General features: G+C 46.3%; 1 protein-coding gene across 1 annotated transcript, besides 1 other annotated feature; it reads right to left on the reverse strand.

The window, feature by feature from the left end:
• Positions 1–323: 323 nt before the first annotated feature.
• Positions 324–9121, reverse strand: SPANXN2 (SPANX family member N2). Its single transcript, NM_001009615.3, has 2 exons — positions 8960–9121; positions 324–868 (listed from the first exon to the last, which is right to left on the reverse strand). The coding sequence occupies exons 1-2, from the start codon at positions 9035–9037 to the stop codon at positions 404–406; spliced, it is 543 nt and encodes a 180-aa protein (NP_001009615.1). The 5' UTR covers positions 9038–9121; the 3' UTR covers positions 324–403.
• Positions 14449–14950: an enhancer, noted in NCBI's record as "H3K4me1 hESC enhancer chrX:142809175-142809676 (GRCh37/hg19 assembly coordinates)". NCBI's record gives its function as "activates a minimal SCP1, AML or CMV promoter by ChIP-STARR-seq in primed H9 embryonic stem cells {active_cell/tissue: H9 hESC(primed)}" and the evidence as "EXISTENCE:reporter gene assay evidence [ECO:0000049][PMID:30033119]".

Raw genomic sequence — 15135 nt, forward strand, 5'->3', positions numbered from 1 at the left:
TCGGCCTCCCAAAGTGCTGGGATTATAGGCATGAGCCACCGTGCCCGGCCAATACAGATCTTTTTAAATGCCCTTCTACATATTCACATGCTCCAAACACCAAGTCCTTTTCTTCCTCTCCTGTTAGATAAAATTTTAAGAAGAAAATTTGTCTCTAGGAATAAGTCCTCCCCCAGGCCTTATTTACAATGTCTGGGAAACTGTCAACCTGTGGGTCTGTCCGCCAACCCTACAGGATCTCATATCCTTCCCTTCTCAAATGCCTACCTCTTCCCTTCCCTTCCTTCCCACCATCAGACAACAGGCAGAGATATACACGGTCATCAGCTCCTCAAACTTGATTTTATTGTAATCATCGCCATTGGTAGTGAGGATTTGTCCAATTTGGTTTCTCCATGTTTGACTAGTCCTCCCCACCCTCCTGTGAAGATCCTTCAGATGAGTCTAGGTCTTCGTCCTCCTGTGAAGATCCTTCAGGTGGGTCCAGGTCTTCGTCCTCCTGTGAAGATCCTTCAGATGAGTCCAGGTCTTCGTCCTCCTGTGAAGATCCTTCAGATGAGTCCAGGTCTTCGTCCTCCTGTGAAGATCCTTCAGATGAGTCCAGGTCTTCGTCCTCCTGTGAAGATCCTTCAGATGAGTCCAGGTCTTCGTCCTCCTGTGAAGATCCTTCAGCTGAGTCTAGGCCTTCGTCCTCCTCCTCTTGGACTGGATTGATGGAGTTCTCTCGGGACTGGTCCTTCTCCAGTTGATTTGAATTTATTTTCGTATGCTTCCTGTAGTAATACACTATTATTGTTAGATATTCTATTGTTTTTGTCTTTTGCAAGCTCTGTTTGGGGGCTAAGACCCTGTTCGGTGCCTCCTGCATCTGATAAGAAAACAGGGAGAGGCCAGAAAGTCATTATTTTGGGTGAATAGGGTAGAGACTGGATAGCAAGGGGGGCTTTATGAGAAGGAATGCAGGTTGAGGAAGGGGTTTGTGCCAGAGAAGAACAAGGTGGAATCATAGGGTAGTGATCTATGGGGAAGAAGAAGAGGAGCATGGGTAGGGTCATCTGTTAGTCCAAACTGCACGATTTCGCAAGTTCTTTGCTATTTTGCAGACCTTGGTCAAAGTGAGACACTCCATGGGGGCTCAGGCCGTGAGAAACATCCTGCCTAACCACCTGACCACAGGGCGGACAAAGGCCCAACTAAAGAAACATTCCTATCATATCTTGCTTGGCAAAGTTCTAAGGAACGCCACAATGATATTCCACTGGAAAAAGGGCCAAACCACCTGATCATAAGAACATCTTATCAATATCCTGCCGGATAGCATCCCACATTGCCCAGATCCCTCCTGCCCATCCCTGTAAGTACCCCAGCCTGTAAGCGGCGGTGGGCTCTGGCATTAAGCTTGTCCTCCACTTCCATAGGTGTCTGCCATATTCCTGTGTTGCTGTTTGAGCTGCCCCCTGTGTGTCTTTCTTTCATCCTTGCCTTCCCTTCAAAACCTAACATTTTGGTGCCAAAACCTGGAGTGGTGATTGGGTTCTAATGGGTAAGTTTTCTCTTGCAACCTGGAAAGCAGCAAGCAGCACAAACTAGACCAGGGCCTGCTTCCAGATCCTGAGTGTACTCCCTGTTCCCAGTCCCATTCTCCTTATTCTCTAGTCTTCTCCAGACCTGGGCTAACCTCCAGATAGTGATCAAACAAGCCACCTTATTTTTTGTTCCTTCCTGTTTCCGGGCAGCTGCAACAAGGATCACCCCCATTTCTGGACATCACATCCAACACTGGGCTTCAATTAGTGGGTGAGTCTCCCTCTTCCTCCTTTCCAGATTCCTCTCTATTTCTGCCCGTTCTCCAAAAAATTCCAGTGCTGGGTGAGAGGTCTCCCCAGTCACCAGGTGACTGCAGCCTCCCTTCTTAGGGTACACCTTCAAAACGTTTGCCACTCTGGCTGCTCTGGCCTCTGGGGAGCATGAATAGTACGGGGCTGCCCCAACTCTCCAGGTCCCTTCTCCCAGGAGGAATCAAGTACTCACTTCCCTATGGGGTATTCACTTCTCTCTGGAGTACTCGCTCACCCCTGGGGTACTCACTCCCTTCCAGGGTACTCACTTTCCTCAGGGGTAGTCACTCCCATCCAGAGTATTCACTCCCCTCTTCCAAAAAACAAAACATTCAACTTCCAAATTCAACATAATCTAAAAAACTTTCTTCAATGCAATGGTAAATAATCTGAAGTGCTTTGCTTATCTCCTTTCATGCCTCACTCTCTCTCTCTCTCTCTCTCTCTCTCTCTCTCTCTGCCAATCTTGTTCACCTTTTCAAATCTTCCTCCTCAAGGAGAAACCCCCCAAAATGCCTCTTCCTCCGGACAAGTCTTCTTCCTCTGAATTTCAACCTGGCCAACACACCCGTTCTTCAGCCTCCTGCCCTCTCCCATTCCCTCCACCTTCTCCTTCGGATCCGGCTCCTCCACCCCCTTACTGTCGCCCTCCATCCCCCTTCCTTCTCCACCTCAAACCAGGTCTCACACCCAACCCCCTTTCGCTAGGAACCAGGCACATGCCCAAAGGCCTTCCAAAGTCCTTCCCTTGCAGGAGGTTGCGAGGGCTAAAGGCATAATCTGAATTCAAGTTCCCTTCTCTCTAGCTGAGTTTTCCCATATTGAAAGGAGACTTGACTCCTTTTCAATGGATCCAACCTCCTTCCACAAGGAATTCTTGTACTTCCCTAAATCTTATGACCTTACCTGGCATGACATATATGTCATCCTCTCCTCTACCCTCACCCTGGAGGACAGGGAACACATCTTTATGGGTGCCCAGGTCCATGAGAACACCCTCCACCAACAAGATGCTGCTCATAATCCAATAGGGACCCTAGCTGTCCCCAGAACTGGCCCCAGTTGGAATTATCAGGCAACTTCAGTAGACAGACAGAAATCAGGCCATATGATATCATGCCTTCTAGCTGGCATAAATAAAGCTGTCCCTGCTCGTTTCCTCTCCTGCCTTTCAAAAGTCACAACTAAATATGCCACCTTAAGCCCTAATACCAATAAGGGCAAAAACTACCTCCATTTATACTTTATCTCCCAGTCAGACCCAGACATTTGAAAAAAACTTAAAAAACTGGAGGGTGGCCCTCAAACCTTCCAAAGAGACTTAATCAAAGTGGCCTTCAAGATCTATAAGATTAGAGAGGAAGAACTAAAAAATCCAAACCTAAAGAAGGACCAGGCTAAATACCAAATGCTGGTAGCTGCCACTCAACAGGGTTCCCAAGGCCTACAGAATTCCTCAACTTGGCAACAGTCAACTCCAGGAGCCTGTTACAAGTTCGTCTAACAGGGACACTGGGCAAAAGCCTAGCCTAATCCCAGGACACTCTGGAAATCTTGCCCCATCTGTGGTATCAAGCAACACTGGAAGTCAGACTGTGCTCACTGAAACTCTTCATCCTGCTTCACCACCTGTACCTGAAGACAGGTGGGGCCTGGAGTCCACCGCCCCTACTGCCATCACCACCTCGGAACCCAGGGTAATTCTGTCAGTCTCTAGTAAGCCCATGTCTTTCCTATTGGATACTCAATAGGACAACTAGTTACTCAGTTTGACCAGAATATTCTAGACCCTTTTTCTGTTCTTCGATCTCTATTGTGAGAATCAATAAAATCCCCTCTAGGCACAGACTGGTCCTTTATTATACAACCTATTCAGCAGCCCCCTTCACCCACTCTTTCCTGGTTATCCCTCAGTCCCCTACCCCTATCTTGGGATGGGACATATTAAGTAAATTCCAGAACTCCATGCAATGTGGCTCCTACAATTCTACCCCTTTTATTTTACTCTGACACCCAAACGCTTCCCTCTCCCCCCACTCATCCTCATTATCCACCCTGTTACCTTCTGTTAATTCTAAAGCTTGGAATGTTTCTAAACCCACAATAGCCACACATCACATCCCAGTTAAAATAACCCTTCAAAACCCCTCCATTTTCCTTCATCAGTCTCAATATCCCCTTAATCCAGCCTTGCTTAGGGGGTCTCAAACCTATTATCTGTAAACTTTTACAAGCTCATATTCTCAAGCCTGTTAACTCTCCCCACAACACCCCTATTCTGGCTTTCCAAAAGACAGACGGGACTTACCCCTTTGTCTAGGATCTCCAAGTCGTTAACCAGGCCGTGGTACCAATCCATCTAGTGGTCCTCAACCAATATACTCTACTCTACCGTATTGCCCCATCTACCACACACTCCTTTGTATTGAACTAAAAGACAACTATTTCACTATTCCCTTAAATCTGGCTTACCAAAGTCTTTTTGCTTTGACTTGGTCAAATCCTAATACTCACATGTCCTGTACTCTTACAGGACTTACACATGGACTTACACCTAGACTGTACTCTTAGAGGGGTTCCGGGATAGGCCCCACCTGTTCAGACAGGCCCTCATCAAGGACCTAGCTGAACTTCCCCTTGCTCCTAGTACCCTCCTCCAGTATGTCAATGACCTCCTTCTCTGTAGCCCCTTTCTTAACCTGTCCATTCAACACACCACTCAGGTTTTAAACTTCCTTCATAATCAAGTATATTGGGCCTAACCCACAAAATCTCAGGTACCCAAATCAAAGTTACTTACCTTGGGTTTGTTCTAACCCCTAATTCTCGAGCCATCCCAACCCAATGAAAGGAGCCAATTTGGGACATGCCCCTTCCCCACATAAAAAAAAAGGACCTCCCCTCCTTCTTGGGCCTTGTGGGATACTTCTGGCTGTGAATTCCTAACTTTGACTTGCTGGCCAAGCCACTATACGTAGCCTCACATGGGCCCATCCTAAAACCCCTGAACCCAGCTTGCCCCATCAACTCCAACTTAAAAACTTAAAAATGCCCTTTTAATGGCCCTGGCACTGGGACTGCCAAACCTCACCAAGCCTGTTACTTTCTATGTACATTCTGACCAGCGCCTTGCCCTTGGACTACTCTGCCAAACATATGGCAACGCCCCAGAAGCCATTGCACGCCTCTCAAAACAACTGGACTCTGTCATCCGAGGCTGGTCACTCTGACTAAAAATCTTGGGTATGGCCACATTGCTGGCCTTAGATGCACGGAAACTCCCTCTCTACCAACACATTACTATTGCATCTTCCCATTATCTACAGGACCTCATAAACCACCAATCCCTTCTATCCCTCCCACCATCCTGCTTACAGCAGGTGCATGCCTTATTCATAGGTAACCCTCTAATCACCTTCCAGAGACATAAAATTCTCTACCCAGCCACCCTTCTCCCTGTAAACACTTCCGACTCTAAGCTCTCTCACTCCTGTCTGGACCTCTTAGACTCCCTCTCCTCCCCCTTCCAACACATTTCAGATGCCCCTTTGCAGGGAACACATACACGGTTAGTTAATGGAACCTCTTTTAGGCAGCCATGTCCAGCAGCTGGCTATTCCATCAGTGCTGAAGATAAACTCCTAGAATCGAATGCTCTCACACCCCATGCTACCTCTCAACAGGCAAAGCTAGTTGCCCTAACCAGGGCCCTCACCCTAGCAAAGGGAAAGAGGGTCAACATTTACACCCATTCCAAATATGCATACCATGTCCTACAGTCTCATGCCTTCATCTGGCAGGAACAGGGTTTCCTAACTACAAAAGGAACCCCCATAAGAAATGGCAAACTTACACATAAGCTGTTGGGGGTGGATAAACCACCACCAAAGGCCACCATTATCCATTGCAAGGGACACCGAAAGGCTACAGATGCCAAAACCGAGAAAAACCTTTCAACAAATTCGGCAGCCTGGCAGGCAGCCCTTAAAACCCCATCGTTATTGCTCATTTTTTTTCCCAGCATACACCCTGTATATACCCAGCAGGAAAAAAACCCACTTGCCCAGGCTGGTGCCATTCAGGAAAAAATAGTTCGATCTCACTGATAAAGTGTCTTGCCCAAGTTTAAAAAACCTTCTGTACTTTCATATGTGCACAACCATTTCCATGCCGGTTACTGCCCCTACTCCAGCTTTTAAAAACTTCTAGACATTCTTCCACCATGGTTGCCCATCTCAGAGATATTACTAAGGCATGTTCCCTTTGCACTCAAACTTCCCCTCAGGAAGCTATCAAACCATCTCCTTTCCCACACACCAGACCTGAGGACACTTACTAGGGCAGGACTAGCAAATCAACATCACTCACATGCTCCCCAGAAAGTGATTCCTATACATTCTAACAATAGTAGATACATTCTCTGGATGAATAAAAGCTTTTCCTACCACCACCAAAAAGGCACACACCATCGCTTCTATTCTCTCCACCCATATTATCCACCGGTTTAAACTCCCCTCTTGCATCCAGTCAGACAATGGGCCAATTTGTTTCAGTTTAACCAACAGCTGGTAAAGGCTCTAAACATTAAATGGGCTTTCCATATTCCTTACCACTCCGAATCTTCAGGAAAAATTTTATAAAAAACAACAACTAACCAAACTCTCCTTAAAGGTTAAAATGGCCTGGACTTCACTTCTCCCATTGTTCCTCATGCGATTATGAGTCATTTCCTAAAAGCGCTCAGCCTAAGCCCATTTAAATTCATGTACAAATGCTCCATTTATCCTCCAGAATCTCCCTGTATTTTCCCCCCATTCTATATGGAATACTTGGCCGGCGTTACACCTCACCCAACATCTAATAAGACAGTACGCAAATGCTTACTTGACCCAGCCTAAAAGTCCATCCTCAAAACACTCCTCCCTGTCCCTACAACCAGCGGGCTGGGTCTGAATCACAGACTCCTCCTCCCCCGCTCTCCAACCTAAGTGGAGGAATTCTCACCAGGTGATGCTAACTACTCCCACAGCGCCAAAGCTAACATCCTTTGCACACTGAATGCACATTTCAAACTAAAAAGAGCACCAGATCCACATCTAGAAATTTGTTCACCCCCAAATTATTCTCCTTCCCTGACAAGACCAACCTCACTGTACTTAACAAGAATTCCAGAAGTTGCCAATCCAGAACACCTTAGTCCATAACACTCTCTGTCTCCAGTTTCCAATCTTTTGTCTCCTACTTTATTTCAGATCTTTCCTGGTTTCCCTTCCCCATGACCCTGAATAGTCCAGGCCAATTTGTCACACTAATCAAGGAGATATGACTTCAGGGCACCTTCCAAAATTTCACTCCTACTCAAATCTCCTCTTTCTCCTTTTGTCCTCTCTATCTGTGGGATATTCTAAGTCCCCACCCCGAACGTCTAACAGATGAGCCCCCTTCATCAGCCTCACTGCCTCTTAAATCAGTCACACTCCCCTCTTCCTTCCAACTGTTAAATTTGTTTGTCCACACAAATCCAGTAGTTCACAGCCCTTCCTGTTAACCTGGCCACATGAACCCTGTCCAAAATAAACCTGCATTTCACCTAATTGACCAATTCATTCGCAAAACCTGCTTATAATCTTGCTCGGCTAATCACCTTTCCCCCCCCACCAATCCATCAAATCCACCCACACCGTCACACACAGGGCTGTCACCCTCCTTCACCTCATAGCCTCTTAACTAAACATGTTACCAGTCGGATTCCAGAAAATACCTCTTATCAACCCCTCCCCTTTCTGCCGGAGCCGCTCTCCATGTATCCAAGTCAAGGGCGCTCCCTGGAAAATATCCACAAACAATTCCCTCAACTGCAACCTGTATCCTTCTGCGCTGTCAGGACCGCAATGGCTATTAGTTACAAAAACCCATTTCCTGCTCTCTCTCCAAAACCAAACAGCCTTCACCTCCTCCACTACCAACATTTCCTATCAGGCCTTCAGAGGGGCTACCCTTGCTGGCAGGTATTCAACTTGGAAAAACATAAAAGTTAAAACAAAGGGTTTGTGCAGAATTCAACCCCCACCTTCTCATGACTTGCCACCATAACCTACAACTTTTGTCTGTCCACCCCTAGTGTCTTCTTCCTTTGCGGCACAAACTCTTATCTCTGCCTACTGGCCAATTGGTCAGGAACATGCACCCTTGTGTTTCAATCTAAACATTAACACTTTGCCTAACAAGCAGACCATCCAGGTTCCTTTAGTAGCTTCTGTCTCATCTTCCTCCACACACACTAAGCAGGCTGTACATCTCATTCTAGTGTTAGCAGAACTAAACATCTCTGATGCACTCAGCACTGGGATAGCAGGTGGTCCCTTTCTTAGGGCCGTTAATCTTCCTCCTCCTGATAGTACATTTGGCCGATGTATACTCACCTTCATATCCTGCTTTATCTCCCGAAGGCTAAACTCCCCTCTCCAGGCAGCCACCCAGCAACACATTGATACCATCCTTCTCCTCTGCCAAGTCCGGTACCAGTGCCTCCAGGAAAACAACTCTGAAGTCCGTCACCCCCTGCTTCAAAACCCAAACCCTGATTACAGCTCCCCTATTCGGCAGCAAGCAGCCAGATAATCAACAATGCCCCTCTTCCTTTTATACTAAAGTAGAAGGCAAGAATGTGAGTCCAAACCACCATTTAGTAAGCACCCTGCTATTTTGCAGACCTTGATCAAAGTGAAACATTCCACGGGGGTTCGGGCCATGAGAAAAATCTTGCCTAATCGTCGTAACACAAGGCGGACACAGGTCCAACTAAAGAAACTTTCCTATGGTATCTTGCTGGGCAAAGTTCCAAGAAACACCACAATGACATCCCACTGGAAAAAGGACCAAACAGCCTGATCATAAAAACATCTTATCAATATCCTGCCGGGCAGCAAGCCATACTGCCCCGGCCCCTCCCACCCATACCTATAAGCACCCCAGCCTGTAAGCGGCGGTGGGTTCTGGCATTAAGCGGGTCCCCCACTTCCACAGGTGTCTGCAGTATTCCTGTGTTGCTGTTTGAGCCGTCCCTTCTCTGTGTGTCTTTCTTTCACCCTCACCTTCCCTTCAAAACCTAACAATCTTACCTCATCATTTTTTTTGTTATTGGATTCACAGGGGCTCTTCCTCTTCTCCCCATTGGTGCTTGAAGTCGGCTGTTCCATGATTCTGCTTGGTTGTAGAATGTCTATAGTAGGCTCTTGTAGACTGCAGACTTCCACAGCTATATTGAAGCTTGCCAGGAGGATGTCCCAGAGCTCTGGCCCTCCCTATGTATACCTTCCTGGTGGCAAGGCAAAGCCACACTCTTGAGCTTTGTTTGATCATACAGGCAGTGTCCCAGCCAATGGCAGTCCTAGGGTGGCTTAGACATCACAAAGCACCACTGCTGACCACTCCCTGGGCTTGTGGGGGACGGATGACAGGGGTGTAGAGGAAACCAAATGCTGTTGTTGTTTCAGCATCCCCTGAAGATGCATCCCAAACTAATCTGCTGCTGCTCATTTCTCCATGTTTAATGTTCATGGTTCACATGGAAGTGAGAGGATGATTCCTTCAAGCCCTTCCCCACAGTCATTCCTATGAAGTCATTCATTCTTTTGTCTTCCAGCCCTCACCATGACTTAGTATTTTAGATGTCTCACCTCAAATCCCTCCAAGCTAGTGTGGCTACATTTAATTATTGGTGGAGATGTGAATTATCCCATTTCCCTCCTACAGTTCCTTCACATGCACCTTGAAGACCATTTACTTTTAGGCTACTGCCAGGCAAATTTCAACCCATGTTCTTTTACCCAATGTCCATGTAGTTCTTTTAAGTTTCCTATCTCCAATCTGAAATAATGGCCTTCAGTCTGTCAAAACTTTGGTGAATAAACTTTCTTTACCATGTATCCTAGTCTTGTTTCAAATCAGGGGTCTATGTTCATAGTAAATGTAGTATCCCAACATGAATTCTGCCAGTATGTGGGTGGGGGAAGGAGTGGATATTCAAGTGCTGGAAGTTGTTCTGAGTATTTACCTGCAGGATGCTACAATCTAAGACCCACATGTGCACCAGTATGGGCACAGTTATACTTTGTACTGGAGATTGTGTCCAGTGTAAAAGAAAAAAAAATGCATTCAGATTGGAAAGGGAGAAGTAAAAGTATCTTTTGTCAAAGACTACCTGAGAGTATATGTAGAAAAGTCAATCTAAAAAAATGGTTCTACATTAATTGAGGTTAGCAAAATTGCAAAGTAAGAGATCAACACACAAATCAATTGTATGTTTATATATTAGCAGTTACATATGAGAAGTTTCTATATTAGAAGAGACAATGTTTTAGCCAATGGTAGTCCTAGGGTGGACTGGAAGTTAATTTCAACAACTGAAAGTTGAAACTAAGAACAGTGCAATTTAAAATATCACTAAAAATATTAAAGGCTTAGGGATAAATCTGACCAAAGATGTAAATGACTTGTACACTTAAAACTACAAAAATTTACAATGATAAATTAATGACATAAGAAAAAAATTGAGATCTATACTTTGATTTTCGGTTGGAAGATTCAATATTGTAAAATGGCAGTTATTTCCAATTTCATCTGTGGATTCAACTAAATTCTAATCAAAATTCTAAAAAGCCTTTTTAATAGAAATTGACAAGATAATTATAATATTCCTATGGAAATATAAAGTGCCTAGAATAGTCAAAAGAAAAGTGTTGAATCTTAAAAAGCTCTGGATTGCATCACTGTCAATGTTCTAGTTTTGATAGTGTAATGTGGTAGTGTATTGAAGATTTTACTATTGGGAGAGACTGGTTGAAGGGTACAAAAGGCCTCCATGTACGTATCTTTGAAACTTCTTGTGAATTTATAATTGTTTCAAAATAAAAATCTAAAAATATTTTAAAAGACAGTAAGAAAGAGGACTGAAAATAGAGAAGGCATGGCCCAGGATTTCTCCCACAGGTTGACTGACACTTGTCTCATTCTCTATAAGAAGTCACAAAACCTGATAATGAAAAAAAAAATCTAAAAATAAGACAAACGAGAAGTAGACCCTGGAATTTTGTTCCAGTGTTCATCAAGCTCACATAACTTTATTTTATACACCATAAAAACAAGAAAGGCCTAGAAAGATACCCCGCTGACCTCCAGACACAAGGCATTTATTGCATTCTCATGACTGTCATCTAAACATTAACAAATCAAAAGAAGATTCTTATTAAGGTATACATTTTTAGTGAACCCCAGACATTGTCTATAGTTCAACAATTCCATTTATTAAATGCTCACAAGCTAACTTCTAATAATTTTTTGTACTCTTGCCTGCAATCAACAGTGAGAATAACACCCTGTCATATCATGTTATGGAAAACAAAACAAACAGAAAACCAAAAGGCATATGCCACATCAAACACAGTAAGTCAGAAACTGATTACAATTTTTGAAAATAACAGCTTTCAATCATCTTACTACCTTTTAAAATTGTTTTCTAAATTTGTTTACCAAAAATGTTTCAATGGGTATATCACTATCCAAGGAAAATTAATCCAAATGTTAAGAAAACATTTAGTGCATATTTCTATTGAAAGATTACAACGTACTTTATAGAATAACTCCTATTGAAAACTTCAGTAATTATATTTTCAACCCAAATGAATAATAAACAATTAAAGGGAGTGGCTGGCAAGATGGCCAAATAGGAACAGCTCCGGTCTGCAGCTCCCAGCGAGATCAATGCAGAAGGCAGGTGATTTCTGCATTTCCAAGTGAGGTACCTGGCTCATCTCACTGAGACTGGTTAGGCAGTGGGTGCAGGCTACAGAGGGCAAGCCAAAGGAGGGTGGGGTGTCACCTCAGCTGGGAAGTACAAGCGGTCAGGGAACTCCCACCCCTAGCCAATGGAAGCTGTGAGGGACTGTGCTGTGAGGAACAGTGCACTCTGGCTCAGATACTATGCTTTTCACATGGTCTTTGCAATCTGCAGACCAGGAAATTCCCTCGGGTGCCTATGCCACCAGGGCCCTGGGTTTCAAGCACAAAACTGGGCAGCCGTTTGGGCAGACACCAAGCTAGCTGCAGGAGTTTTTTTTTTCATACCCCAGTGGCGCCTGGAATGCTAGCGAGACAGAACCGTTCACTCCCCTGGAAAGGTGGCTGAAGCCAGGGAGCCAAGTAGTCTAGCTCAGCAGATCCCACCTCCATGGAGCTCAGCAAGCGAAGATCCACTGGCTTGAAATTCTCACTGCCAGCACAGCAGTTTGAAGTCGACCTGGGATGCTCCAGCTTGGTGGGCAGAAGGGTGTCCACCATTAAGAGGGTTGAGTAGGTGGCTTTCCCCTCACAGTGTCAACAAAGCTGCAGGGAAGTTTCAACTGGGCGGACCCTACCCCAGCTCGGTAAAGCTGCTGTAGCCAGACTGCCTCTTTAGATTCCTCCTCTCTGAGCAGGGCATCTCTGAAAGAAAGGCAGCAGCCCCAGTCAGGGGCTTATAGATAAAACTCCATGTACCTGGGACCGAGCACTTGGGGGAAGGGGTGGCTGTGGGCGCAGATACAGCGGACTTAAACGTTCCTGCCTACTGGATCTGAAGAGAGCAATGGATCTCCCAGCACAATGCTCGAGCTCTGCTAAGGGACAGACTGCCTCCTCAAGTGGGTCCCTGACCACCATGCCTCCTGACTGGGAGACACCTCCAAGGAGGGATTTATAGACACTTCATACAGGAGAGCTCCGGCTGGCATGTGGTGGGTGCCCCTCTGGAACGAAGCTTCCAGAAGAAGGAAGAGGCGGCAATATTTGCTGTTCTGCAGCCTCTGCTGGTGATACCCAGGCAAACAGGGTCTGGAGTGGACCTCCAGCAAACTCCAGCAGACCTGCAGCACAGGGGCCTGACTGTTAGAAGAAAACAAACAGAAAGGAATAGCATCAACATCAACAAAAAGGACATCCACACAAAAACCCCATCTGAAGGTCACCAACATCAAAGACCAATAATAGATAAATCCATGAAGATGAGGAAAAGCCAGGGCAAAAAAGCTGAAACTTCCAAAAACCAGAACACCTTTTCTTCTCCAAAGGATCACAACTCCCCAGCAAGAGAACAAAACTGGATGGAGAATGAGTTTGACAAATTGACAGAAGTAGGCTTCAGAAGGTGGGTCATAATAAACTCCTCCGAGCTAAAAAAGCATGTTCTAACCCAATGCAAGGAAGCTAAGAACCTTGAAAAAAGGTTAGAGGAATTGACAACTAGAATAATCAGTTTAGAGAAGAACATAAATGACCTGATGGACCTGAAAAACACAGAGCAAGAACTTTGTGAATCATACACAAATATCAATAGCCGAATTGATCAAGCAGAAGAAAGCATATCAGACATTGAAGATTAACTTAATGAAATAAAGTGTGAAGACAAGATTAGAGAAAAAAGAATGAAAAGGAATGAACAAAGCCTCCAAGAAATATGGGACTATGTGAAAAGACCAAACCTACATTTGATTGGTGTACCTAAAAGTGACAGGGAGAATGGAACCAAGTTGGAAAACACTCTCAGGATATTATCCAGCAGAACTTCCACAGCCTAGCAATGTGTCCAGAATTAGTGGGTTCTTGGTCTCGCTGACTTCAAGAATGAAGCTGCAGACCCTCGCGGTGAGTGTTACAGTTTTTAAAGATGGTGTGTCCGGAGTTTGTGCCTTCAGATGTTCAGATGCGTCTGGAGTTTCTTCCTTCTGGTGGGTTCGTGGTCTCGCTGACTTCAGGAGTGAAGCTGCAGACGTTGGTGGCGAGTGTTACAGCTCTTAAAGGCAGCACGTCTGGAGTTGTTCGTTCCTCCCGTCCGGAGTTGTTCATCCCTCCTGGTGGGTTCGTGGTCTCCCTGGCTTTAGGAGTGAAGCTGCAGACCTTCGCAGTGAGTGTTACAGCTCATAAAGGCAGGGTGGACCCAAAGAGTGAGCAGCAGCAAGATTTATTGTGAAGAGCGAAATAACAAAGCTTCCACAGCGTGGAAGGGGACCTGAGTGGGTTGCCACTGCTGACTGGGGCAGCCTGCTTTTATTCCCTTATCTGGCCCCACCCACATCCTGCTGATTGGTCCATTTTACAGAGAGCTGATTGGTCCGTTTTGACAGGGTGCTGATTGGTGCATTTACAAACCTTTAGCTAGACACAAAAGTTCTCCAAGTCCCCACTAGATTAGCTAGACACAGAGCACTGATTGGTGCATTTACAATCACCACAAAAGTCCCCACTAGATGAGCTAGACACAGAGCACTGATTTGTGCGTTTACAAACCTTGAGCTAGACACAGGGTGCTGATTGGTGTGTTTACAAACCTTGAGCTAGACACAGAGTGCTGATTGGTGCATTTACAATCCTTCAGCTAGACATAAAAGTTCTCCAAGTCCCCACTAGATTAGCTAGACACAGAGCACTGATTGATGTGTTTACAAACCTTGAGCTAGACACAGAGTGCTGATTGGTGCTTTTACAATCCTTTAGCTAGACATAAAAGTTCTCCAAGTCCCCACCAGATTAGCTAGATACAGAGTGCTGATTGGTGCATCCACAAACCCCAAGCTAGACACAGAGTGCTGATTGGTGCATATACAATTCTCCAGCTAGACATAAAACTCCTCCAAGTCCCCACCTGACTCAGGAGCCCCGCTGGCTTCACCTAGTGGATCCCACGCTAGGGCCGTGGGCAGAGCTGCCCGCCAGTCCCACACCATGCACCCGCACTCCTCAGCCCTTGGGCAGTGGATGTGACCAGGTGCCGCGGAGCAGGGGGTGGTGCCCGTTGGGGAGGCTCTGGCCATGCGGGAGTCCATGGGGTGGGTGGGGGGAGGCTCGGGCATGGTGGGCTGCAGGTCCCAAGTCCTGCCCCGCAGGGAGGTGGCTGAGGCCTGGTGAGAATTTGAGCGTGGTGCGGGCCGGCAGTGCTGGGGGACCTGGTGCACCCTCCACAGCTGCTGGCCCAGGTACTACACCCCTCACTGCCCGGGGCCGATCCAAGTGCAGGGCCTGCCGAGCCTGCACCCACCTGGAACTTGCGCTGGCCCGCGAGTGCCATGTGCAGCCCTGGTTCCTACCCGCGCCTCTCCCTCCACACCTACCCACAAGCAGAGGGAGCCGGCTCTGGCCTCGGCCAGCCCAGAGAGGGGCTCCCACAGTGCAGCCGTGGGCTGAAGGGCTCCTCAAGCATGGCCAGAGTGGGCGCCGAGGCTGAGGAGGTGTCGAGAGCGAGTGAGGGCTGCCAGCATGCTGTCAC

This window comes from Homo sapiens, chromosome X (assembly GCF_000001405.40).
Source record: "Homo sapiens chromosome X, GRCh38.p14 Primary Assembly".
Lineage (NCBI taxonomy): Eukaryota > Metazoa > Chordata > Mammalia > Primates > Hominidae > Homo > Homo sapiens.

What these genes read in the sequence shown, in the direction of transcription:
- SPANXN2 (NM_001009615.3), bottom strand. Translation starts at nt 9,037, where the DNA reads ATGGAACAGCCGACTTCAAGCACCAATGGGGAGAAGAGGAAGAGCCCC. An exon ending in ATAACAAAAAAAATGATGAG is followed by an intron (nt 869 to 8,959) that starts GTAAGATTGTTA and finishes TTTTCTTATCAG; the next exon opens with ATGCAGGAGGCACCGAACAG.